This window comes from Homo sapiens, chromosome 2 (assembly GCF_000001405.40).
Source record: "Homo sapiens chromosome 2, GRCh38.p14 Primary Assembly".
In the NCBI taxonomy this organism is placed as follows: domain Eukaryota; kingdom Metazoa; phylum Chordata; class Mammalia; order Primates; family Hominidae; genus Homo; species Homo sapiens.
In genome coordinates, this window is record NC_000002.12 from 241,346,852 (window position 1) to 241,372,883 (window position 26,032).

Below are 26,032 nucleotides of genomic sequence, written 5' to 3' on the forward strand. Positions count from 1 at the left end.
AGGAAACTGCAGCACCTGAGTTAAGGGTGAGGCCAGGATGAGTGGCATCCAAGCAGCCAGTGGCCGTTGAAGCAGCAGCTTCGATCCTCGCAAAGTCCTGCAGCCATCCTCACTCACCTTTTCTTTTTAACCATTCTAATATGTTTTTATATAAGTTTTCTGGGAGGCCAAGGCAAGTGGATCACTTGAACCCAGTAGTTTGAGACCGGCCCTGGCAACATAGGGAGACCTCGCCTCTATAAAAATTTTTTTTAAATTAGCCAGATGTGGTGGTGCATGCCTGTGGTCCCAGCTACTAGGGGGAGGATTCCTTGAGCCCAGTAGGTCCAGGCTGCAGTGAGCTATGGTCGCACCACCACGCTCCAGACTGGGCAACAGAGTGAGACCCTGTCTCAACAACAAAAGTTTCCTGTGTTGTAATTCATTAAAATTCTCACATTCTAATAATTTGATGGATTTCTAGATACATATGTTGTACACATTGAAGTCTAATTATGAGTTTGGAAATGAGACATTAAGAAAGATTTTAGAGGCAGCAAGAAAATTCCACCCTCTGGAAGCTGAGTAGGCGCTGGCCCTGAGATGGAGATTAGTGTGCTTTGCAGAGCACAGTTCTCAGGTGTGCTTGGGGAGCTTACCCTTTGCCCCTCGTTCACTCACGCAGATCCTGCTCCTTAAATGTGGTGACTACATTCGCATTAATAAAGAATAACATCTCAAAGCAAATTCTTCAGATAATACCTATTTTTGAGTGGGTAACAGCAAGTGTTGTCGCTCAAGCTTAGAGTAAGAAAAGTCTCTTGAATGTTCCATTTCATGTTGTTCGAACTTTTTAAAATCATTCTGTTCCCTTTTTATTCATTATATCTTTAATTAGAAAAATGATAGGCTGGGCGTGGTGGCTCATGCCTGTATTCCCAGCACTTTGGGAGGCCAAGGTGGGCGGATCACTTGAGGTTCAACACCAGCCTGGCCAACGTGGCAAAACCCCATCTCTACTAAACACAAAAAAAATTAGCTGGGCGTGGTAGCACGTGCCTGTAATGCCAGTTACCCAGGAGGCTAAGGTGGGAGAATTGCTTGAACCTAGGAGGTGGAGGTTGCAGTGAGCCAAGATCATGCCACTACACTCCAGCCCGTGCGACAGAGTGAGACACCATCTCAATATAAAAAGAGAAATGATAAATACATGTCATTTTAAATTTTAAAGTAGAATTTTTTGGGGGGGTAGCAAATAACTATTTGTTGCAGTGTTATGATTCTGATTTCTTTCGATTCTTAGGAAAGTGGAGAATGAGGACATGAATAAAGACCAGATCTTGCTGGAAAAAGAAGCTGAGGTAAGTAGGAAAGTACTATTGGTTGGTTGGTTGGTTGGTTGTTTTGTTTGTTTTGAGACAGAGTTTTGCACCATTGCCCAGGCTGGAGTGCAGTGGCGTGATCTCGGCTCACTGCAACCTCTGCCTCCCGGGTTCAAGTGATTCTCCTGCCTCAGCCTCCCGAGTAGCTGGGACTACAGGTGCCCGCCACCATGCCTGGCTAGTTGTTTTTGTATTTTTAGTAGAGACGGGGTTTCATCATGTTGGCCAGGCTGGTCTCGAACTCCTAACCTCAGGTGATCTGCCCACCTTGGCCTCCCAAAGTGCTGGGATTACAGGTGTGAGCCACCGTGCCCAGCCAAAAAGTACTATTCTTGTGACTGAAGGTGTTTTGTTTACATCCGTAGATATCATTGGTAATTAACTTAAAGTTTATAGTTTTTTTTTTAATTTGTTGAGGAGGATACATATAACTACTTTATTACTATATATACACATCTATATATAATAATAAACATGGATATTTACATAGCATACATGATGCTTCATATATTTAGCTGAAAGACTTTGGAGACAATTTAGTAATGTCACTGATATTTGTAAGTAGATCATAAATATGGAAATATGCTCTGTTGTAAAGGTGGCATTCAGATCTGCTGGAGTTTTGGAAGGCAAACACATTATTCAGTAAACAATAGGATCATAATGGGCTAGCCTTTTGGAAACAAAAAGAAAATACTTCTTTGGTCAAATTAATTCAATATTGATCAAATATTTAAATGTTAAAAATAACCACAAAGTCACCTGAAGAAAATTTAAATGTTTTATAATACTTTCCTGGAGGCATTTCTGAACACATACAAATCATAATGATAAGGATAAAGATGAATTAACATTTACTATTTTTGGCCAGGCACTGTGGGTTACACTTATAGTCCCAGCACTTTAGGAGGCCAAGGTGGGAGAATCACTTCATGCCAGGAGTTTAAGACCAGCTAGGGCAACAGAGTGAGACCCCCCTCGTTCTCTAGAAAAAAATTAAAAAATAATTAGCCATGCATGTCGGCATGCACCTGTAGTCCCAGCTACTCGGGAGGCTGAGGCAGAAGGATCCCCTGAGCCCAGGAGTTCAAGGATGCAGTGAGCTATGATTGTGCCACTGCAGTCTAGCCTAGGTGAAAGAGCAAGATCCCATCCCTTTAAAAAAAAAAAAATATATATATATGTATATGTATGTATATATATTATTTTTATTGTGAGGCCTTCATTGCCCTCCAGAAAAGCTGATTCATTCCCATTCCCCTTTACTTTGCATTTCTCACTGTCATCAGTCTCTTTCCCTCCTTTTAGGTTAGAAAACTTCTCATATTGGCCGGGCGCGGTGGCTCACGCTTGTAATCCCAGCACTTTGGGAGGCGGAGGCGGGTGGATCACGAGGTCAGGAGTTTGAGACCAGCCTGACCAATGTGGTGAAACCCCGTCTCTACTGAAAATACAAAAATCAGCTGGGCGTGGTGGTGTGTGCCTGTAATCCCAGCTACTCAGGAGGCTGAGGCAGGAGAATCGCTTGAACCCGGGAGGCGGAGGTAGCAGTGAGCCGAGATTGCGCCACTGCACTCCAGCCTAGGAGACAGAGTGAGACTCTGTCTTAAGAAAATTTATCATATTGTCTTATCTTTCTTTGGTTATTGTTTCTGTTTGGCTTGCATATTCGTATCATTTACTTGATTTTCTCTTTAGCTGTTGCTTTTTTTATTGATTGGTAAAAAGTCTTTATGTAATAACTCCTGTCATATTTTGGGAAGGTGTAGAAGTTGAAATTTTAGGAATCACAGAACACCCAGAAATAATGTTCAAAGACAGCAAACCTTGAAAACCTATAATGTGTGTGTGTGTTCACAGCTCCGCCGCATGCAAGAGATGATTGCAAGGATGCAGGCGCAGATGCAGATGCAGATGCAGGGCGGGGATGGCGATGGCGGGGCTCTCGGGCACCACGTGTAAGGTGATGTGCACATATCAAGAAGTCAGAGGTAGGCCCTGTTGTCCCTTAGCCTGGAAGACAGGCAGTTACTAACATTGTGTCAGCTTAAATATGACAGGTTCCTCCTTAAGCCTCATTAATATTTTGCATTTTGAAGTAACTCCATCACTAATCTTAAACAAGGAGAGATTGCTCCTGAAAAACAGAAGCCACTACTTTGCCACCTACTTTCTAGTAAAGATTTTTCATATTTTTGTCTCTTCTTTTTTTTTTAAATAATTTCAACTTTTATTTTATTGGGGTACATTTGCAGGTTATTTTCTAAGCTTGCAAATACCAACATTAGAAGGAAATTATGTATTAAAGCACTTTTATTAGTTGTATTATTGGAAATTTGTTAATTGTTAAAACATCTCTTTAAAGGGAATAAAAACGTGTTATTAAAACAGCTTGTACAGATTAAAAGTAGAGATGGCACAAGGAAGAAGAATTATGTGAGGTAGATAAGGGTTCCCTGGATGGTGACTGCTGACCTCCTGTTCCTCAGATAGCTTTGTCCCGACTGATGGTCATTAGTGAATAGATCTGTCTGGCATGGTGTATGCTGGTCTGCCTGCTTGAAAAGAATCTGCAGACTCCAGAGACTCAGGACCAGGAAAAGGCAGATGCCCACTCCCCTGTATCTTATGTATCTTATGGACAGGCAGGCTCTCTGAACTGTCCAGGTGGCCACTCCCATCACTTGCCAGAGGAAAAGCATGAAAGGTAAAGTTAAGTAATGACCTAAGAGTCCAAAGAAGAGGGTAGGTCACATGGAGCTGGGGTAAAGGCAAACAAACCTCATACAAGAGATCTGATTAGAGCTTGAAAGAGAGTTTGAGTTGGCCAAGATCTGAGGATGAAACGCTGGGAATTTGGTAGAAGGTCTCTACTACAATTCAGGGACCTCATTCTGGAAGCATGAGTGTGTTCATGAAAACAGGGAGGGGACTTGAGCCTTCAACGACATACGGCAGGGTGGGTTAGGCAGAAGGCAGGGAGTCTTGAGGCCTCCACAGCATGTGGACAGGTGGCTGAGGAAGGACCCAGAGTGACTTGCTGGAGCCTTAGTCACCAAACGCTCTTGCAGCTTAGTGGGAAAGGTGTTCATTGTAAAATACGGTATTTACACAAAATGCACAAAAATACGTATGTACAGTTTAATAAGTTACTGTAAGGAAAACATCCATGTCACCCCCAACTGAGTCCAAGTTGGTTGCTTTAGTTTCATCATCACAGTGACACCTTAGAATAGTCCTGAGGGTATGTGCTTAGTTCACACTTTACTGATGAGGAAATTGTTGCCGCTCCGAGAGTTTAAAAGTATTTGCTGATGGTGCCATGACTTTTAAACGATGGCCTGCTGACTCTAGAGGCTGGTCCTGCATAACCAGTTAATGGCATGTGACTGGGGAAGTGAGGGTACAGTGGAAAGAGACAAGGATGCCTCAGCGATGCAGCTCATTTGAAGCAGGAAGCAGTGACAGGTGTTTGCTTATTTTCTCTGAGCTTCATTTTCAACCTTTATGGAATGAAAATTTTACTTTTAGATCGATAAAATTTTATTTCTGTATACTTTCTAGTTTTGCAGCATTTCCAGTTTCCAGGAGCCTCATGAATGGCTTTTTGGTTTAGTTAACTTTGTGGTCATGTAAGCCCTGCCTTTTGCTCAGTTTATGACCTTTGTTAAGGAGAAAAGTAGAACTGTTAATAATTAACGCAGCAGACATTGCCTCACTCCCACTTAAGTGTGTTTTGTTTTCTTTTTTCTAGAAAACACTTTCCTGGATAAAAAAGAAAACATTCCAGATGCATGATCCAGCTGTGTGTTTTCAATCCTTGGGAGGGTGCCATCCACATTTTAACAGTACCTGTGCCTGAGAATTTAATTTTTAAAAGACTTTGATGTGTTTTTGTATGAAGTACTTTTAACGTATGTATTTCATTGCTGTGTCACACTCTGTGTTTTGTGAGGTGAATGTCTTCCTTTTCTTTCTCCCTAACCACTAATGTTAGAATTGATTTCCAAGAATCGGCATGTATACTTAATACTGAATTTCTTTGATTTAACTGACTTAACAACTGACTAACCATTGATGAGCACTCCTGATTTTTATCTAGAACATTCAGATTTACCATAATGTTCCTTAGTGGTAGAGGTGTGTGCCTAGTGATGTAGAAAGATACACTGACTTGGTGCAAGGCCATCTGCTTACCACATCACACCACTTGGAGATCTTTGCTTCCTTGCTTTTATGTTTGTACACAACACCTAAAACCAGTTTTGCTGCTATAATTCTATACTGTTGATTCGTCTGCGATTTTATCTGTTAACCAAATAAAACATAATAGAATTTCCTAATGAGATATATCTTTATACTTAAACAGCTTTTTTAGAGGTGAGTTTTAAAGAAGTCTCTTAATTCTGATGCTAGGTTGTTTTTAAAACCACTATGCAAAGAACTCACCACAAGCCACCTTTTGTAGTGTTCTCCACTAATACTGGTTATCCTGTGCTACAGAGAAAATCAAAGCAGTCATAAGCTCCAGTTTTCGTATTGCAAATAAGACTCTTACCTACAAAATGAGATTCAGTGAACTAATTTGGTTTTTACTCAACCAAATTAAAAATTTTTTTAAGGAAAATTAGCAGTTGGTCTATTCAGAATCAAACCTTTTTATATTTTATACTGCACTTTAGTGTATTTTCTGTCACTGTAGGTATAGAAGATCTGCCTCCCCTGTGGAAATTGGGGTCTGTTGGTGGGCGTGCCCCTGAAGCCTGGCTTGGGTTGAAAAGTGTTCCCGCCCTAAGGCCTTGGTGCCCTGAACCTCTGATGCCTACCGGGTTCTCCTGATTTGAGTTTCCTTTAAATACTCCCTTTTTGAGTAATTTTCTGATGGGAGGAAAGTAGCAGTCATCATCTTTTTGTGTGCAGGCTGTCTCATTTATTTTTAGCCATTGTCGTTTCATTCATTTTGTGTAATATAAACCGTGTGTCATGTCAAAGTGAAAGACATTTCAAATCTGTAGCATAGGCTAGTGGGCAGGTCCGCACAGTCGAAGCCACACCTGGTCTGTTTTCTGTGCACTGTAGCCTTAGTGTCACCTTTCTTCTTGTGTCTCCTTATGGTACACTCCAGCGGTTGCCTTTTTTATCATTTCTACTGAAGTTGGGAAATTCAACCCCAGAAATTGACAGATGAAAGGAGACAATGGTTGTGTAGGGAGATGGAGAAAATGCTTAATCTGAGGATGAGACAGGGTTTTTTCATTTTTGTGGGGGCTAGAAAAAACATAAAATGAGGCAGTTAAATAATAATAGTTAATGAAGGTGTGCTACAGAAAATAATCTGGTGTTCTTGCTAACTTTGCCCTTCACTGTTGCTTAATTGTGAACAGCCAAAAGCTATATGTTATGGCTTATTGTGTGAAGGTAACTAAGAAGTGGTGTTCCATGACTTCAGAGTACATCCATGCGGAGTCCATTATTTGAGTTTGACATTTAATAACTTTGCTGGAAAATCTGTAAAAAAGAAAAACAAGTTTGCTAGTGACTAAGCCCCGCATATGTGAGTGAAAGTACTTCAGGCACGCTGCCTCCTGGTAACAGCTATGCAGGGAGGGAGGACCCACACTGCTACACTTCTGATCCCCTTTGGTTTTACTACCCAAATCTAAATAGATACTTTTGATAATAGATAACTGCTCTTTTACTAAGACATAGTCTCTACCTATAGAAATGTATTTTGAAAACACTTATTTTACACAGCAATTTTGTATCCATTTAAACTAACCTTTTATCAATAAAGCACTATTGTTTAGATATTAAATGAGTATTTCTCTTGGTTATTTGCAAGGGAAAGTTGTGAGGTTTTCTGGGAAAATTCAAAGTCTTGACAACATCTTTGTATAAAATCAAGAAAAATTACTTGAATCAATAGTGTCAGTACTGGACAAGTTTGTACGTATTGGAGATCCAGCCCAAAAGAAAGCACAAAAGATTGGAAAGGAATTATTTACAGGTGATCAGAACATCTACTTAGAAAGTACAAGACATCTGGTGAAAATTAACACTAAGAAGTCAGTGATATCTATTTTCTAATTAGAAAATGTAGTGAGAAAAGAAATCGCATTGATAATAGCAACTACTAAATTACTGGAAATATAAGTGAATGATTGAAATATATCTAGGAAGAAATTTCTAACCTATAAATTTTCAAGAATAGGCTAAGGCGGCTCTGCCACTTGAGTAAAGGAAACTGGAAACCTGAATTGATCTGGGTGGCTGGACACCTACACTCCAAGGCCTCTAGCCTTCTTCCTGCCCACTGGACTGATCATCCCAGGACCACCTTGGGCCCCTTTTACCTTGCTATCAGTGTTTTCTGAGCTTCCTTATAGACAGACCCCTGGATACTGAAACTTGCTCTCTCTAGTTCCTCAGCTGACAGCTGCCACGCCTGCTGCCTTCCCTCCAGACTGCCAGCCTCAGGTCACCAGCACACACCCTGCATCCTACCAGGGGTCAGTACCACCCTCTGGCCAGGCTCTCACCTGCACTATCCCCACCCGGCCCTGCCCGTCTGCAGGCAGGGATCCTCTGTTCTGGGGTGTGTGCACCACTCTGGGCCTGGTGGTGTCATTGGGGGTTGGTTAAAGGAAAAGCCCCAGAGGTGGGTGGCACATGAGGGGAGCATCCCGCACAGCTGAGCCCAGTCTTGGTGTGCCTGGGTCTCAGACCCCATAGTTGTCTCAGGAGAAATGGAGGTTCCCCTGAGCCAGCATTTCTCCTGTCTGGGCTTCTGGGAAACGAAGGGTCAGGTTTCACTCTGGAATCCACAGCACCATAGGAGGAGTCTCTTAAGTGCCCGGGTGTTTCCTGAAGTTAATTATTCCCTCAACAGCCACATGGTGACAGTGGGTGACAGGGCCGGGCTAGGAGAGCACGATGGGTAGGGTCTTGAAGAACACATAGGAGTTCAATGAACTTCTCAAGAGAAGGGAAGTGTGCCACAGCAAGTCAGTCTTCCATTCTCGGGTGGGGGTCCCTAGGCCAGAGGAAGGCCGTCCTGGCCGCCACCACGGAGCAGCCTGTCTCAGCCTTAGCACAGCCTCGCGCGATCCTTCGATGATCCCCTTCGGTCCCTGTAGTCCCACGAGGGATGCAATGCGTTGGAGGAAGGAGGAGGCTGGCAGCCAGGGACTGAGCCAAAGGGTGCAAGGACAGCCGGCAAGGCCCGGGCCAAGACCTATCCCCGCCCAGCGAGCCAGGCCTCGCCCAGCACCTATCCGCGCCCAGCAAGCCTAGGCCTCGCCCAGCACCTATCCGCGCCCAGCAAGCCTAGGCCTCGCCCAGCACCTATCCGCGCCCAGCGAGCCTAGACCTCGCCCAAGACCTAGCCCCGCCCAGCGAGCCGACTCCCCGCCCAGGACCTAGCCCCGCCCAGCGAGCCGACTCCCCGCCCAGGACCTAGCCCCGCCCAGCGAGCCGACTCCCCGCCCAGGACCTAGCCCCGCCCAGCGAGCCGACTCCCCGCCCAGGACCTAGCCCCGCCCAGCGAGCCGACTCCCCGCCCAGGACCTAGCCCCGCCCAGCGAGCCGACTCCCCGCCCAGGACCTAGCCCCGCCCAGCGAGCCGACTCCCCGCCCAGGACCTAGCCCCGCCCAGCGAGCCGACTCCCCGCCCAGGACCTAGCCCCGCCCAGCGAGCCGACTCCCCGCCCAGGACCTAGCCCCGCCCAGCGAGCCGACTCCCCGCCCAGGACCTAGCCCCACCCAACGAGCCGACTCCCCGCCCAAGATCTAGCCCCGCCCAGCGAGCCTTGGCTTCGCCTAGGACATTGCCTCGCTCAGCAAGCCGACGCCCCGCCCAACGAGCCGAGCGCTGCACAGATTTATATCCTACGCAGCTGCCTGCCTGCTCCCGCCCCTTCTCCGTCCGTTCACCAATCAGAACTCGATCTTGCGCTTTCAGGCCGCGGGACGGGAAGGCTCCGCCCTGGCGCCCCGCAGGCCAATCGACTGCGCGTCCGCGTCGCGGGGGCGGGGTCAGGGCGGGGCGCGCTGCGCGGGGGCTGCCGGCGGGCAGTTGGGAGCAGGCGACGCCGACGCGAGTCTGGCGGCTGCTGCTTGCGACTGCGGAGGCCGGGCGAGGCCGGTGAGGACGCGGCGGGCGAGCGAGAGGCCGAGGGTGAGGACGTGAAGCGGCCTGGGCGCGTGGGGCAGGGGTGGGCCTCTCCGGGTGGGCGGCGAAGCCCGAGGCCCGAGGCGAGAGGCCCAGGCGGGGGGGGCGCTGAGGCCGCGGTCCACCAGAGATGGTCCCGCCCGGCCTCTGAAGGCCATCGTGAGGCGGCTGGAGCTCCTAGGCGGGTCCGGGTTAGAGGAGCGTCCGTCTGTAGGGAGCCTGCCGCGTGGGGGCAGGCGGGGCGGTGGGCCGGGGAGTGGCCCGCGTGGACTCCCGGGTTGAGGGGTGCCGCGTGGAGGAGGCCGGTGGGGCTGTAGACCGGGGAGTGTCCCGCGTGGACTCGCGGGTTGAGTTGTGCCCCGTGGAGGCCGGCAGGGCCGTGGGCCGGGGAGTGTCCCATCCCGGAAGGACACCCCAGAGTGGGCCATAGGGACCCGCAGGGTATGGGCCTGGAGGTGCCTGGTGGAGGCATTTTGAGCCGTTTGCCTTTTTAGCATTTCTTTAAATTGTATCTTAAAGGTGGGAATCAAGTGTTAGGTGTTAATATTTTTACTCCACTAAGGGCTAGAAATACTCATAAGCCAGTGGGTAGCCTTTGGGAAACCCATGAAAACTGGGGACCAGAATATGGCCCAGTACATTACACACCCGAATTACGGGCACCTTTTCCGTTTACGCTATGGCAGCAACCCCTGGCCTATCATGTGCCATTAATGGATGTGAAAAGCAGAAATTAGAACAAGGCATCATTGAAGGAAAGATTGTCAATACATAGTGTTAAAAAGGGATGGGCAAATTTAAAACCCAAGGCCAAATCTTTAAAGGGTGGTTTTTCTCTCTGGGTTTTTGTTTTTGTTTTGTTTCCGTGGGATATTTTTGTCTGGGCCACTGTGTAAATGTTTGATAACCCTGAGGTGGCAGTGGGTTAGCGTGTTGGTCTTGTGTAGACTGCCTTATAACAGGCGACACAGATTTTCTCAGTACCAGAGAGATGGGAGAGGACATTTGAGGTAGGGAAGCATGGAGTAACCTTTACTTGTAGGCCAAATATAATTTAAATTTTCTACATCTGCTTGTTGAAAGTTTTGTTTTGTTTTGTTTTTTGAGGTCCTTAAAGGTTTAGGAAGCACTTCATGCTCGTTATTTATTCAGTTTTCCAAAACTCTTCAGAGACATGACCAAGTTGCACAGCCCCGTTTTAAAGTAGAGGAAAGGGAGGTTGAGAGAGGTGGAATGACCAGTTTAGGGTCACACCTAGGGTACTTGCAAATACCATCTGTACTTCTCATGTGCCCTATCCTTGTTGCAGATTCTCATTAGGTGGTTCACTGTTAACAAACTAAATGCTGATGATGCAGTTTCCTGGACTGCAGACGTTTGCTGGCTTATTTACCTATAGGACTATCAGTCGTTAGTAAATTTCCAGGTTCCTTGTATACTAATTCCTTTCCCAAAGAGGAAGTTGATATAAGGTGTATTCATTTCTCTCTGCCTCAGGTTCCTTATTCAAAAAATGAGTTTAAAATTTACTTGGCCAGGCACAGTGGCTGTAATCCCAGCACTTTGGGAGGCCGAGGCAGGCAGATTGCATGAGCTCAGGGGTTCCAGACCAGCCTGCTCAACAGGGCGAAACCCCATCTCTACTAAAAATACAAAAATTAGCTGGGCTGGTGGCGCACGCCTGTAATCATAGCTACTTGAGAGGCTGAGGCACGAGAATCACTTGAACCCAGGAGGTGGAGGTTGCATTGAGCCAAGATTGTGCCACTGCACTTCATCCTGGGCGACAGAGCGAGACTCTGTCTCAAAAAAATAAAAAAATAAATAAAAAAAGCTGTGTTAACAAGATGCCTGGCACAAGGTAAGTGCTTAATAAATGTTAGCCATTATTATTATCAGGTGGACAAATAATCCGAGTAGAAAGTAGAACAAGCTAACCCTGGATATTTACAAAAAACAGTAGAGAAAAAATTAGGCAATAATTAAGCAAATTTATCCTGTTTAGAGGGAATGGTATGAACTGGATTGCCAAAGCAAAGATCAATGCATGGGCAATTCCATGTGAGCTCATTTAAATCCATTTGGCCCAAAGAATTCAGTTGCTTCCTTCCTTTCCAAACACCCCTGCTTCTAGTCACATCAATACCTCTTCTATATTCGGACAGTAACAGATTTTTCTTACTGCTGCTTGTCCTTTCAGTTTTGTTCTTATTTTTCCTTCACCCACTTTCATATCAGCTTGCCAGCTTCCCCTTTACTCAGTGCGTCATGAGCTTCATAAACACAGCATAGTGCTAGATATACAGGCAAAACCCCATTGTAGTGTTGGATACTGAGCTGAGGTAATTCCGGTCATGTTCTCTGAGATCAGAATATAGAGTCCTTTGACCATAGCGTATTTGTCAATGCCACAGGGAGTTGAAAAGTTGAGGATCCTACAAAGCAATATGATAAAGCCCAGTCTTTGGTGATTTTCTGGGGAGCGTTTAGTTGACAGTGATTCTATAAATTGGTCTAATCTTTTTGGAAAGTAGCAGTATGTGGCAAAGATTTTGATTTTGGAATCACACTTTTCAAAACAATCTGATAAACTTTGTTGTGTCAGTAGGGTAGAGTACTCCATAGCAAGTAAACATGCTTCCACAAGCTGAATCCCATCCTCCCATCCAAGGAAAATTTGAACCATTTTGATCCATGGAAATATGCTTTAAAATGTGACTTAACTGAAAAGTTGAAATGGTGTGTACACAGCAATCATAGTGTTGTAAAAATACATGAGGAGGTGAACAGGATCAGGAGGGTAGTTAGAGTGTTGTAAGTGGTTTTATTTTAAGAGTCATGAATTGTTTTCCCCTAAACTGGTGTTTTAGCTTATTGCCATTTTAAAATTCAAAAACAAAAAGGCCCTATAATGTTGTAGGATGCAGTGATGAATCTTGCTTAATCCCATCTTTCCCCTTCCCCGCCCATCCTCCTGATTGCTTCCCAAAATGAAAATGTGGTCATGTCCTATCCCAGCTGCAAAACCTACTTTGGTATGAGATTCCAACCAGTTGGCCCACTAGAGCTCGCGCAGCACAACCCCAGGCCACCTCCCCACCTCCCCTCGGGTGTCTCAGCCCAACTATACTCATCCTTTCCCAGCTGCTCCTGCAGTTTCTATGTAGTCCTCTGCCTGTGCACACACTATGTCCTTTGTCCACCTGGTCTCCTGTTCCCCTGTGAGGAAAGCTGCTCCAGGTCAGGCTAGCCAGCGGTGCTGCCTCTTTCTTTCTGCTCTCTCTGTGACTGCAGTGGGCAGGTAGTACTGGTTACTTTCTCAGTCGTCTCCCTTTCTGAATTAAACTTCTGTATCTTTGTGTGCTCTGTGCACACCATGCAATCACGATGGGGTTGAGGCCGCTTGTGGAGCTGAGTGACTGCTAACAAATCACTAACCTTTCTGAGCCTGAGTTCCTTGATGCCAGCTGCACATGGTTATTGTGAGGATTAAATGAGATGACATAAGCGAAGGGCTTGACATGCATCTCCTTGCAGTGGTGGTCATACAGGACACGGTAGCTGTTGTAATGTGTACCAGTGCATTTTTGAGGCCTTGTCTTGGACCTTGTCCTCTTGATGAAGCCTCCTCCCTGTCTCCCTCCAGCTGCCAACTTCCTCTCTACCACCCTCACTTTACTCACTCCAAGGCACTTAAATCACCATTTAATATATATTAGGTACTCTCTTCTTTGTATTTGTCCACTATATAGGGGGGAATTTTTCTCTCTTAGGAACTCCTGTATCCCTAAGCATTTAGACTTGCCTGAAACAGAATAGAGCTCAATAAATATTTGAATGAATTAATCAGATTTCTTCTGAGGCAGAGGTAGATGCCAGGTTTTATGGAGCTTGAAGGTATACAATTTGGGGGAAGGGGAGAACTCTTTAAGAGAAAGAATGCAAAGTTACAAATAAAAACTAATTTAGAAAGTGAGGCTGGGAGCGGTGGCTCACGCCTGTAATCATAGCACTTTGGGAGGCCGAGGTGGGTGGATCACGAGGTCAAGAGATGGAGAGGCAGGTGGATCACAAGGTCAAGAGATGAAGACCATCCTGGCTAACACAGTGAAACCCCCCGTCTCTACTAAAAATACAAAAAATGAGCCAAGTGTGGTGGCATGTGCCTGTATTCCCAGCTTCTCAGGAGGCTGAGGCAGGAGAATCACTTGAACCCGAGAGGTGGAGGTTGCAGTGAGCCGTGATCACGCCACTGCACTCCAGCCTGGGTGACAGAGCGAGACTCTGTCTCAAAAAAAAAAAAAAAAAGTGAATATTTAGAATGAGAACGTAACAAATTTGAAAAAGCTGATGAATAATGCAAATGGCTAAATTGAGAAAAATAACGTTTGTTAATTATCTAACACACCTGTGTAATATTTCTTCCTTTGGCTGTGTACTTTTTAATCACATTTTCATATGACAGGATATAGAAAGAACTCAGTGATTCCTCTAGCACAGTAGATAAATTTTTATTGTTGATAGGGTACATAAAACTTATGGTTTCACATAGACGTATTTGCTGTTTCTAGTACTGCTACAGGTTGGTGTCCCAGAAAAACAGGTGTTCAGGTAAATCCTGTTTCGCACAATTCCATTCAAAAAAGAAAAAAAAAAAAAACACACATCTTAGGCACACAGAATTGTACTGCTATATTGATTATTTTTCTGGTAACTGATCTATTCGCTTATATTTTAGCACGTCTGATGGTAAATTCCCCACAAACAAGCAACTGGCTCCCTCCATTTCAAACCATGTTTCCTTTCCACTGCCCACACACTTCCCTGAGTCAGACCCCATTGGACCTATTCACATTGCCACAGGATCCCTGGCCCTTCACCTTTATTTCATAAAAGCCCTGGTGAACCAGCACAGTGGGTGATAGTATTTCTAGAAGGAATACCCGCATTGAGATTGCTGGTAATCACCTAGGTTTGCATAGTAGAAGTAACTGTAAACAGCATAAATGTGTCCTGTTAAACCCAAACTAAGTGTCTTTCTCCAACTTAATGTACCCTTACGTGGATCTCAAAAATGCCAGCAGCACCTCCCAAGCTACCTGACATGAAGGGGAAGAGGAACAGAGGCAGAGTTGCAGTGGGAAAAGGCAGTAGTCTTAATTTATTGCAATTAGAATATTTTGGGGGTAAATTTTACAAAAGTGTATGACCATAGGGACACTCTGCTTAGGGCCTTTCTCGGGACCTTGGAAGGAGTTGGTGCAAGTGAGGGCCCAGAAACCTGAGCCAGACTAGCTCTATAGTCAAACTGCTTTAGTGGGGGTAGTTTCCTGGTCCCTGGCTTGATGCCAGATAACCCAGTAGGGGAATGTGAGGTGAAGGTGCTAAGTGAATCTTCCAGGAGCTAGTGGGAATGTGTTTGTGAAGGAGGAACTACTTTTAGAAATTGTTTAAATTACTAGGCTTTTATAAATTTCTTGTCCCCTTTATTATTATTATTATTTTTATTTTTTATTTATTTATTTTTTTTTAGACAGAGTTTCACTCTGTCACCCAGGCTGGAGTGCAGTGGTGCAATCTTGGCTCACTGCAACCTCCGCCTCCCACATTCAAGCGATTCTCCTGCCTCAGTCTCCCAAGTAGCTGGGATTACAGGCACACGCCACCACGCCCAGCCAATTTTTTTGTATTTTTAGTAGAGACAGGGTTTCGCCATGTTGGCCAGGCTGGTCTCAAACTCCTGACCTCAAGTAAACCACCTGCCTCCGTCTCCCAAAGTGCTGGGATTACAGGTGTGAGCCATCACGCCCGGTCCCCCTTTATGATTAAAATCTCAGTTGCTTTGTTAGTATAGTAGTTAATAAGATGAATGTTGGAAAACAAGTATCAGTATCTGAACAAGAAATGGAACCCAGAGAGTGTTTAAAAATATTAATTTTGGCCAGGCGTGGTGGCTCATGCCTGTAATCCCAGCACTCTGGGAGGCTGAGGTGGGCAGATCATGAGGTCAGGAGATCAAGGTCATCCTGGCTAACATGGTGAAACCCCATCTCACTAAAAACACAAAAAATTAGCCGGGCATGGTGGCGGGCGCCTGTGATCCCAACTACTCGGGAGGCTGAGGCAGGAGAATGGCGTGAACCCAGGAGGCGGAGCTTGCAGTGAGGCGAGATTGCGCCACTGCTCTCCAGCCTGGGTGACAGAGCAAGACTCCATCTCAAAAATATATATATATATTAATTTTTAATTGAACTATTTTTGAAAGAAGAGCAAATACAACTCTAAGGGGAAAGACAGTTATTCCAGCTTTCTCTTGGAAGGTAAGTAATGGCATACTGTAGGTAGCCCCTATCAGTTAAGACTTTTAAAGCTGGTAGTACTTCTGCAGGATTCTGCAGAGAAACCATCTGACTTCAAAGATAATGTATACTCGTCACTGTAGGTGATTTGACAAATACAGAAAATTAGGAAGAAGGAAATAAAAATCAATCCTCTTACCCCTCCCAATGATAACCACTATAAATGTATTTTAAAATGCATGGATGTGGAGCTGTGGTTCTGGGAGGTGGAGGGAGCATACTCCATCTTGCCTCTCCCACTGTCTGTGGCTGTAAGACCTGGACATGTGCATGGAGCAGCTGTTGAGGACTCCGACAAGTAAACGGTAACAGGCGGATGGGAGAGAAGGCCAGAATTTGAAGCACCACTTTGCACCAGTAGTGAGTTTCTTGTCTTCCCTTCAGCATCCCCTGCCCTGGACTCTGGCTGTCCAAAACCTGAAGGCAGGTACCCAGTATGAACAGGGAGAGCTACAGAGTAGTTTTGTAGTTGGGCCCCAAGACAGAAAGTGGGAGAAAGCCATTATTTTTTTCCCTCTTGCTTCCTCTCCTCCACTCAGCCCTGCAGTGGCAGGAGTGTGTGAACACCTAAAACTCTTAGGGAATGGGGAAAACCCCAGTTGCCTTTTTATTCTCTTCCCTCCTGCAGCTCAGTCCCAGGCAAGATGCAGGCACAAGAATAGCATGGCTAAACGGAGTAATTAAAGCCGTAGGTTTCTGGTTGGAGTCTGAAAAGGGGAGCCCAGGTCACTGGAAGGGATACTAGGGAGATTCCAGAGAGGGAATTGCTCAGGAAAGTGACCCCATGAAGTTGTTAGTTAACTTATAGGCTCAACACTGAGCTATGCACGCGTGATGTGAGCCAGAACAGGTTGCCAAAGACGGAACTCGGCTATGGGATAGACCATCGCCTGGAAGGCAGGCTGGCCACCAAGCAAGTAGGGACCGCAGGACATTGCTGAGGAGCACTGCAAAGGCTTTGAAAGTGAAAGTGACACTGATACCATGTTCTACAGAAGGCTGGTCAGGACCTGGGGACTGAATCCAGCCAGGCCAGTGCCTGCTCAACAAAATACCAGCATTCCCCATAGGATTTAAACAAGATCAAGAGTCTCTAAGAGTGTGATGTTAAAAATGTCCAGGATACAATGCAAAATTTACTCAGCATGTGAAGAACCAGGAAAATAACTCGTGAAAAAAGACACAGGCTAAAGCTGAGGTGGTGCCTATGTTGGAATTATCTGATAGACTGTGGTCTGCAGATTTGTGGCCTCCATGAGCTTGACCTCCTAGTGTTTATCCTGGGAGTATGTGACTGATTTGGCAAAAGCACATTGCAGATGTAATGAAGGGTACGAATCAACTAGCCTGGATTCGTTGTCTAGATTATCCAGGTGGGCCTTAGGTAATTATATGAGCCTTTAAAAGCAGGGATCTTCCTCCAGCTGGTAGCAGATGGGGAAGGCAGAGAGACTGGAAGTATAAGAAGTTTTCAACGTAACATTTCTGGCATGGAAGATGGAAGGGGCCATGAGCCAAGGAATGAGAATGACAAACAGCTGACAGCCAGCAAGAACTAAGGACCTCAGTCCTCTACCCACACAGACTTGAATGAGCCTGTAAGTGTATTCTCCCCCAAGGAAATCCACATAAGACCCCAGGTCAGCTGACACCTTGACTTAGACCTTTTGAGACCCTAAGCAGAGAATTCTGGTGAGTTACATTACACTCAAACTTCTAACCCGTAGACACTGTGAGATAATAAAAGGCTGTTATTTTAAGCTGCTAAGTTTGTGGAAATTTGTTAAGGCTACAGTTAAAAAATAAATAAAACTTTATAAAGCCCCTATTATTAAAATAGTCCAAGAAGTAAAGCTACTCTTGAAACAGATGGAAATATAGAAAGTCTTGGCAAGAAAACAGAAGATATAAAGAAGTGGGAATTTTAGTGAAAAATACAATAACTGAAATAAAATGGATGAAAGAGTGAATTCATAATGCATGGATTTACAGTTCTTTAAATCAGTTTTTTGTTTGTTTTTAATCTTTTTAATACTTTTCATTTTTTCTTGACAACTATTCCTTCACAGTCATTTTTAATATATCTTTTCTGCTCTACATCCTGAGAGAAACTTCTCTAGTAATGAACTGTAGAAATAATCCCTGTAAATATAGTCTTATGTTTTTTAGTCTTGAAGAATTTGCACTGTAATCTGTTGGACTGGGAGCCATGCCGGATATTAGTCTCACCCCTGCACAAATCAGGTCTGTGGCCTTGAGCAAGCAGCTTCGTTTTCAAGGCTGTAGTTTCTTATGGAAAGTAGAGACTGGGCCAGGATTTCATAAAGTAGGAGCTTCTCTCTCCCTCTCTCTCAGCTTGAACTCTTGCATGGGTTCCTTGAATCCTTATGTACATCAAAAATTATTGCTAGATTTGTTTTTTGTTTTGACTTGTGGAAAATTCCAAACATTCACAAAAGTAGAGAAAATAATAAATCAAAGCCCATGTATACAGCATCAATAATCAACACATGGACAATCTTTTTTTCCTGTACCCACTTCCACTGATCCCCAACTCGTTGGATTATTTTTAAGTAAATGCTAGATATTATTTCATTTTATCCATAAATGCTTTAGTATCCATCTCTAAGAGAGGGACTTTTTTCCCCTTCATGTACCCACAATACCACTAAAACACTAGAAAATAATATTAACCTCTTAATATCATCTGATGCTTAGTTAGCATTCGTATTTCTCTGATCTGTAAATATTTGATTCAGGATTCAAATGAGGTCCTATATATAGCATTTGATAACATCATACCTTATAGATAACATGTCTTAGTAGTTTTTATTTACACACATACACACACCGTTTCCTTTTTTTGTTGCCATTTACCAAAGAGACAAGGTCATTTCTCCTGTAGGATTTCTTTGTGGTTCTTTTATTCCTTAGGATATATTTTCCTGGTGACGTAGAATGAAGTTACTGGGCTTTGAAGTCACTTGAAGTAATTTTCTTTAGTTTAGCTGATGTCTTGATTTACAGTTAAGACCATTTGTTTCATTTCGTTTGGGTTTTTAGGACTTGCTTTTCTAAAATATTGATTTAATTTTGCTTTCTAATTATGTGAAACCATTTATGAGGTTCCCGTATCAAAACTACTAAACACCGTGTACAGTTTCCAACATTGTTTACCCCTTTCACTTCCTCCCTCATAGGTAACCATTTTCATTAGTTTTTGGTTTATGCTCTTTTTTTTTTTTTAATATAAACAAATACATACCACTTTGGGAGGTTAAAGCAGTGGCATCACTTGAGCCTGAGAGTTCGAGACCAGCCTGGGTAACCTAGTGAGACCTCATCACTACTAAAAAAAAAAAAATATATATATATATATACGTATATATATATATATACACACACACATATATATTTTCTTCCTCTTTTAACAGAGGTTAGCATGCCATGCACCTGGTTTTGCACCTTTTATTCACTTTCACACCAAAGCAGCATATACAGATCTTGCTTTTTTCTGTAAAGATTTTGATGTTAAATTGGATGGCTTCATACCATCCCCCACAGAAGTGTTGAGAATCAGTTATCCAGATTCACTTCAGCTCCTAAAACTTCTGCTTTTCAGTTTGTAGAATTTTGTTTAACATAAAATCAGGATACCAGGTTGTAGAGGATCTAAAATACACTCTAAAGGAAATAATACATCCGTTTAGTGTTCAGGCAATTAAAAAAAATAACCTGGGGAGTAAAAGTAAGATTTTCAAATATTAGTTATGTAGAAAGAAATCTCTTTGGAACAATTAGTCTGTGTACTATGTTGCTGAATTTGTCTGAAAGTGATCTTCCTTTTCTTGCACACATTTAGCCACTGTTGCATTATGCTAAGGTAGGAAGATTGTGATAACATGATTTTATGGGGTATATTTAATTTTTGGCTACCAAACACTATAAATTAGTAGAAATCAAGAACACATTTTCTTTCCATTTGTTCTCACATTGAGCTGCCTTATCACAGAATCATGGATTCTTAGACCTGAAAAATATCTGATTAACCCTTCCCTTCCTCTGTCATTTTCCAGTTGAAAAAGCTGGGGCTGGGAGTGGTGCCGTGACTCAGTTTGTTAATGGCAGAGTTGAAATTGAAACCTGAGTGTGCTGGCCCTGAATTTCCACCATCCCCAGCTGCTGCTGCCTCCTTCCTTGTTCCCCATTAGCACCTGCCTTTTTATTTGGTCTTTTTTAAATCACAGCTTGGTAGATACCTTTCTGTGTCAGTAAGCGCTCTTCCATCAGCAGAGTTCTTGAGTTGTTGACTGCCCTTCCTGGTGTTTGAGGGACAGGGTTGCCCACATATGGATCCTCCTCAGTGGTCAGCTCTGTGCAAGTGACACAGCCATCCTGAAGCGCCTGCTGGAGAAGTGTGTGCAGATGAGTTCTGCAGCACCCTTCTCCCCAAGCTTCTGGGGCCAAGCGTGGTTTCTGTGATGCTGGGGCCACACTGCCTTCAGACAACACTGTAGCAGTGTTGGTGTGTTTTTATGCAGCAGTGTTCTGGGGAGGGTGTGCAAGCCCACCTGCCCAGCCAGCCATTTCTCATTAGCAGTTTGAAGGCCTTACTTTACAGTACAGGTCTTGACATTTTTCTCTGCTTCCTCACATTGACTATTTAGTTCCTTATTCTAAAAGTTACTAATGCTTAGAAAGAGAATAAAGAAGGATCCGTCTCTTGCTGTGCTGCAGTAAAGAGGTAATGCGCCCCAGGGCCGAGGGATTGAGGAGGAATTCCATTTGAACATCATCAGCAGTGAAGTTTCTTCCCAATGCTGCAGTGGACTTTCATATTAGATGAGTGTAGTGAAATATTAAGTTCATATTCTGGTTTCTTGGGTTGGTCGTAGAGGAGTTTAGTTTTTTATTTTCCCAAAGCAGACAGTGAAAAATATTTTAGGAAAGGTGATTTTTTTTAAATTGCAAAATAGAAATGTTAGCCTCTACCCGTTACTGTGGATGGTGGACTATGCTTTTGTCTAAAAAGCCATGTGCTGATTTTCCAGCAGAAGGGGAAGAGTTTTGGTAGCCAAGTCTGGGCCCAAGTCCTAGCTCTGTCACTTCTGAGTTATTTGTTCCTTGGCAGGCCTTTTTTTTTTTAATAGATTTTATTTTTTAGAGCAGTTTTAGGTTAATAGCAAAATTAAGCAGGAGATAAAGAGATTTTCCATATACCCTCCACCCCCACATACACACAGCATCCCCTACTGTCAACATTTGTCACTAGAGTGGTCCATTTGTTACAAACCTACTCAGTACATCATTATCACCCAAAGCTTTGGCAGACTTTTGAGCTGAATTTTCCAACTTTAAAATGGAAATGACATGTCACGGGGTTTTCTTTTATTATTAAATGAGACTATACCCACAAGAGCCGAGTTTGTAGTAGGCAGGACCAAATGTCAGTAGTGCAAATTGTATCGGCCACCAGAAATGTTTTTAGGAATGAAGACTGCAAAGCATTTCATTCACGTTGAAAGAAGATGGCACAATAAGCTGAGTCCCCCACAGATTCTTGGTTGTTTACTTTGCCACTTTCCTCTGGGTATCTGGGAGGTTTCGCTGGCAGGAGCAGGGATGGGCAGAGGTTGGCACCAGGTTCCTGGGACCACAGAACATGGTGCGCCAAGGACTGTTCATGGCCTTGCCGTGTTCCTAGTCTAGCCTGTGTGTTCTTGCCTCTTTAATACTTGTTTATAAGCGCACAAAGCAAAACAAATGTAATTTTCATTAGTCAAAATTTATGTGAAACAGCCTCAGCCTCCCGAGTAGCTGGGATTGACAGGCTTTGACACCGAGGTTAACCGACAGTCACAACAATGGGGTTACCTGCCGGTATTCTATTAATGTATTTTTTTACATTTCTTTAGAGATAGAGTCTCACTATGTTGCCCAGGCTGGTTTCAAACTGCTATTCTCAAGTGATCCTCCCACCTCAGTCTCCTGAGTAGCTGAGATTATAGGTGTGCGCCACTATTCCTGGCTTTATTAAGGTCTTTTTAAGTTTTCATAAGCTTAGTAATAAACTTAAAGTCTTAAACTTAAGTCTTAGTCTTAAATTTAGTGTTAAAGTCTTAAATATAAGTCTTAGTCTTAATCTTAAAGCTGAGTAATTATTAAACGGATAGTTTATGCCACGTTACTATTATGTGACAACAAACAGATTTTTCTTTGGGATATCAGCAACAGAGTACCACAGGGTCATCTCCTCTCAAGTGAATCTGTCTTCTTAAGATCAGTCTCATGAACAAGGGTATCTTGTTGTGGCCCTGCATCTCAGCTGCAGCCATGTTGACGTCTGTCTGGGCTAAATGAAAATGAGGATGTAAGTCGCTGCTTGGAAAGTGTGCAAACGTGTAAAGATTTCCTCTGTGAGCCACATATTTGAGAAGAGAGTTTGATATTCCTTAAGCTAGGAAAAGTGTTTTTTATTTGTCTAGTGTGTCATGTTCTCGTGGAAGAGGAAGCAATGTTAAAAAACTTGTTTTAAACATTTTTGTTATAAAATAAACACACATAAAAACATGAATCAGATATATGGCTTAATGAATTATAAAATGAACACTGTCCAGATCAAGAAATAAAACTGTGCCCTGCCCACCTAAGAACTCCTTCTCTGTGTTCCATCCCAGTGACAGTCCCTCTCTCCCATCAAGAAGGGACCACTTTAGTAATAACTTCCTGGTGTTTTCTCTTTATGGTTTTATCAGTGGAATGTGCACCTCTAGGGAGTACAGGTTAGTCTTGTCTATTTTTTTTTTTTAGCAGTAGATGTTTAGACATGACTTTCTTATAATGAGTAGAAGAGAAAGAACCTGAAGAAATTTTTAAAGCTATACTTAAGAAAACATAAATGAGAATTATACAGTAGAATAAATAAGAGAAATGACTTCTAAAAATGTATTTCAGTTGTATAAATGTTTACAGATTTGTAGCATTACTTAAGGGAAAGAATGCCTTTGGTGACCAAAGTAAAACATCCTATCCTTTGTTTCAGAAGAACCCACTGTTGGTGGTTCTATATTTAATAAATGTTGTGAGCTGACCAAGAACATATAGATCACTTATTTTTATTTTCATGTTTTCACGTTGGAGGAACCTTCAAAGTGGAAGTCTTCTTCATTTGCATTCTCTTACTTTTGCATTAACTACTCAATAAATAAAAGTTTGTGAAAAAGACAAATATCATATATTCTCACTCATATGTGGGAACTGAAAAAAAGTGATGGTTACCAGAGGTTGGGAAGGGTAGTAGGGGGTGGGAAATTAAGAAGGATTAATTAATGGGTACAAAAATGCAGTAAGAAGAAATAAGATCTATTGTTTGGTAGCACAATAGGGCAACTATAGTTAATACCTTATTGTATATTTCAAAATAACTGGAGGAGTGGATTTGGAATGTTCCCAACAGAAAGAATTTGTAAATGTTTGAGGTCGAGGATATCCCAAATACCCTAATTTGACCATTACACATTGTTTGCTTGTATAAGGATACAAAACTTGAGTTAGACAGCAGTTTAGAAGATCTATTATATAGCATGGTGACTCTAGTTAGTATTGTATTTCTGAAAATTGCTAAGATACATACCGTATTTCTGAACATTACTAATTTTTGTGGATTTTAAGTGTTCTCACCACAAAAAATTTGAAGTTTGTGAGGTCTTGCATATGTTAATTGCCTCAATTTGGCCATCCCGTAGTGTAGACATATTTCAGGGCATCATGTTGTACATGATAAGTATATACAATTTCTGTCAATTAAAAAATAAGAAAAAAAATCACATACCCCATAAACATGTACAATTATGCACTCATAAAAATTAAGTAAAAGTTTGTGGAACTGAAATGAAAAGGCTCGTTTATGATTCTCAGAACTTCATATATCTCATGTTTAATATTAGTGTTGCAAAAACGGTAATTTTGTTAAAGTGTTGTTCTGTTTGTGGTTGTAGTCTTTTGTCTTTTGCTGTTATCATCTTTACAGTACATTTCATGATGTACCAGTTCATGTTTTTTGGTGCCAGTGACATTAAGTAAATACTTAGCAAATGTTTACAGTAAGAATTTAGTTCCTTCCCTCAAGGAGCATCCAGCATGGAGAAAGACAGCTGAAGATGATGGGTAACTGCCAACCTGTGCCAAACGTGCAGCTCAGGTAATAAATGTGTCAGTCAGTGGCTTTGTTTAGGAATTAGGATGGGACCTTGCACTGCCTTGTTGTTTTGTTCATAGTACTCACATTTTGCTTCTCCCGGAGGATTTAGCTCTTCATTTTTTGCTTTCTTGTTTGATAAATTGGACGTGTGCAGAAGTTCAAAAGGTTGTCTTTGTGGGTAAGGTTTAAGTGTACAGTAGGAAATGCCTGGCAGTAAGTCACTGAGAGCCTATTTGAAATTAAGAGATTAAAAAGGTTCTTTTCTAGGTGTGGTGGCTCGCCTGTAATCCCAGCACTTTGGGAGGCCAAGGTCGGAGGATGAGTTGAGGCCAGGAGTTGAAAACCAGCCTGGCCAACATGGTGAAACCCCATCTCTACTAAAAATACAAAAAATTAGCTGGGTGTGATGGCGCATGCCTGTGGTCCCAGCTACGCCAGAGGCTGAGGTGGGAGAATTGCTTGAGCCCGGGAGGTGGAGGTTGCAGTGAACCAAGATGGGGCCAGTGCACTTCAGCCTGGGCAACAGAGCAAGACTCCGTCTCCAAAAATAGCCGGGGGTTCTTGATTTGCTTGTCTTGATGACAAAATAAGCATGAAAAAGAGGAAAGGGCCAGGAGACTCGGAGCAATTAAGTTGTCGTGCAAGGGGACTGGGCTAGAAATTGAGTGAGATTAACTCTTTAAAAGGTTACAGATTAGCGGAAGACTCTGAGAGTGATTGGGTGAGATAAAATAATGCGTGCAGTGCTACATGCTTTGTTGATTAAACACCGAGCATTTGTATCTCACCTCCACCAGTTTTGCCATATTTTTTGCCATACTATGTTTTATTGTATTAAATATTTAAAAATTGATTTTTAAACATAAGACATTTCACAAGGGAAGTTGCCATAAATAATAGATTATTAATAAATATTAAAAACAAGCTAGTATTATTAATTTTAGCTGATACTTAATACTAAATATTTAGTACCTAATACTAGCCTGATCTTCGTTAAAAACAATGAAGACACATTTTACTATCTTTGTGTGTCCCGTGCCATCATGTTGCAGACTTCAAATATACACAATAAAATCTGTTTTAAAAAATATATACCCAATTTGAATGGAAAAATAAAATCTACAGTGCATTAAATAAATAATGACAAGCATAGCACTGTTAGACTTAACAGCTTGCAAGCAGAGACCTTTCCCTTGGCACAAAAGGAGAGTTGAAAAGGACCTGAGCTCCTCCCTAGGCCAGGTGTTTGACCTTCTTGGGCCCTCATTGTCATCTGTTAAGTGGGCTGTGGATAGTGATGAGGGGGTTATTGTGAGTATGGGGGTTATTGTGAGAATGGGCAGGAGCTGGGAAGGGCCTGACCAGGGGCAGGTGCCTCCTGCTACCAGGCATGTGGTCCTTGTTACCCTTATCCAGGCTGTCATTCAGTTCCATATGTGAAATTACATCCCAGACTACCAGTGGCACCCACTCCACCCTGGCGAGACACGTTAGAAAAATCGCGGGTTACAAAGCTGGCAAAGACAAACCTGGCTGTTTTCATCTCCTTTATTGGCATTTTTCCTCAGCTGGAGTAGCCCTTTACTCCACATAAAGTCAGCAGAGGGGAAGAACAGCTGCACGAATGCCTCAGCTCTTGCTGTGCACTGCCTGACACGCGTTGATGCTGTGCTTTGTGGAGCCTGTTTACGTTTGGTAGAAATGGCACCATCTAGTACTTAAAAAGGATCATCACCACAATAACTGTTTGGGCTGGTGGCGAGAGGTGTGCCAGGGAGTGGGCAGCCTAGGGTTGGTGTGGCAGCCCTGGGCTCTCTTGCCTCTGCTGGGTGGGTGGGTGGTGGTGATGTCACTCGTTTGTGAGGTCTAACAGGTTAAATGAGTTAATGGGTATGCCTGGCTCATAGAGCATCTGGAAATATTGTTATTGAGGGTGGTGCTT

At 43.2% G+C, this 26,032-nt stretch overlaps 2 protein-coding genes and 1 long non-coding RNA gene across 55 annotated transcripts in view, besides 1 other annotated feature; 2 read left to right on the top strand and 1 right to left on the bottom strand.

Moving 5' to 3' along the window:
• SEPTIN2 (septin 2) overlaps positions 1 to 7,176 on the top strand; it is a 38,673-nt gene extending 31,497 nt beyond the window's left edge. For 40 of the 45 annotated variants that reach the window (XM_024452920.2, XM_047444494.1, XM_047444495.1 and 37 more), the window contains 3 exons: positions 1,283 to 1,340; positions 3,222 to 3,352; positions 5,116 to 7,176. In XM_024452920.2, the coding sequence (XP_024308688.1) occupies positions 1,283 to 1,340; positions 3,222 to 3,323 (160 nt within the window). In that variant the 3' untranslated portion in view covers positions 3,324 to 3,352; positions 5,116 to 7,176. Of the gene's footprint in view, positions 1 to 1,282; positions 1,341 to 3,221; positions 3,353 to 5,091 lie in introns of all 45 variants that reach the window. The other 5 variants (XM_024452921.2, XM_047444496.1, NM_001349289.2 and 2 more) reach the window with 1 other exon arrangement.
• Positions 9,222 to 9,771: a silencer, noted in NCBI's record as "silent region_12537". NCBI's record gives its function as "represses an Ori minimal core promoter by ATAC-STARR-seq in GM12878 lymphoblastoid cells {active_cell/tissue: GM12878}" and the evidence as "EXISTENCE:reporter gene assay evidence [ECO:0000049][PMID:35858748]".
• FARP2 (FERM, ARH/RhoGEF and pleckstrin domain protein 2) overlaps positions 9,434 to 26,032 on the top strand; it is a 138,557-nt gene continuing 121,958 nt past the window's right edge. For 6 of the 9 annotated variants that reach the window (XM_047446511.1, XM_011512233.1, NM_014808.4 and 3 more), the window contains exon 1: positions 9,434 to 9,537. The gene's annotated coding sequence lies outside the window, so the exon portion shown is untranslated. Of the gene's footprint in view, positions 9,538 to 25,770; positions 25,856 to 26,032 lie in introns of those variants that run through there. The other 3 variants (XM_024453259.2, XM_047446510.1, XM_011512234.2) reach the window with 2 other exon arrangements.
• LOC105373973 (uncharacterized) lies at positions 14,027 to 25,889 on the bottom strand. The gene is made up of 3 exons (XR_924066.2): positions 25,620 to 25,889; positions 23,524 to 23,686; positions 14,027 to 14,149 (listed from the first exon to the last, which is right to left on the bottom strand). It is a non-coding gene; the product is annotated as an uncharacterized LOC105373973 (long non-coding RNA).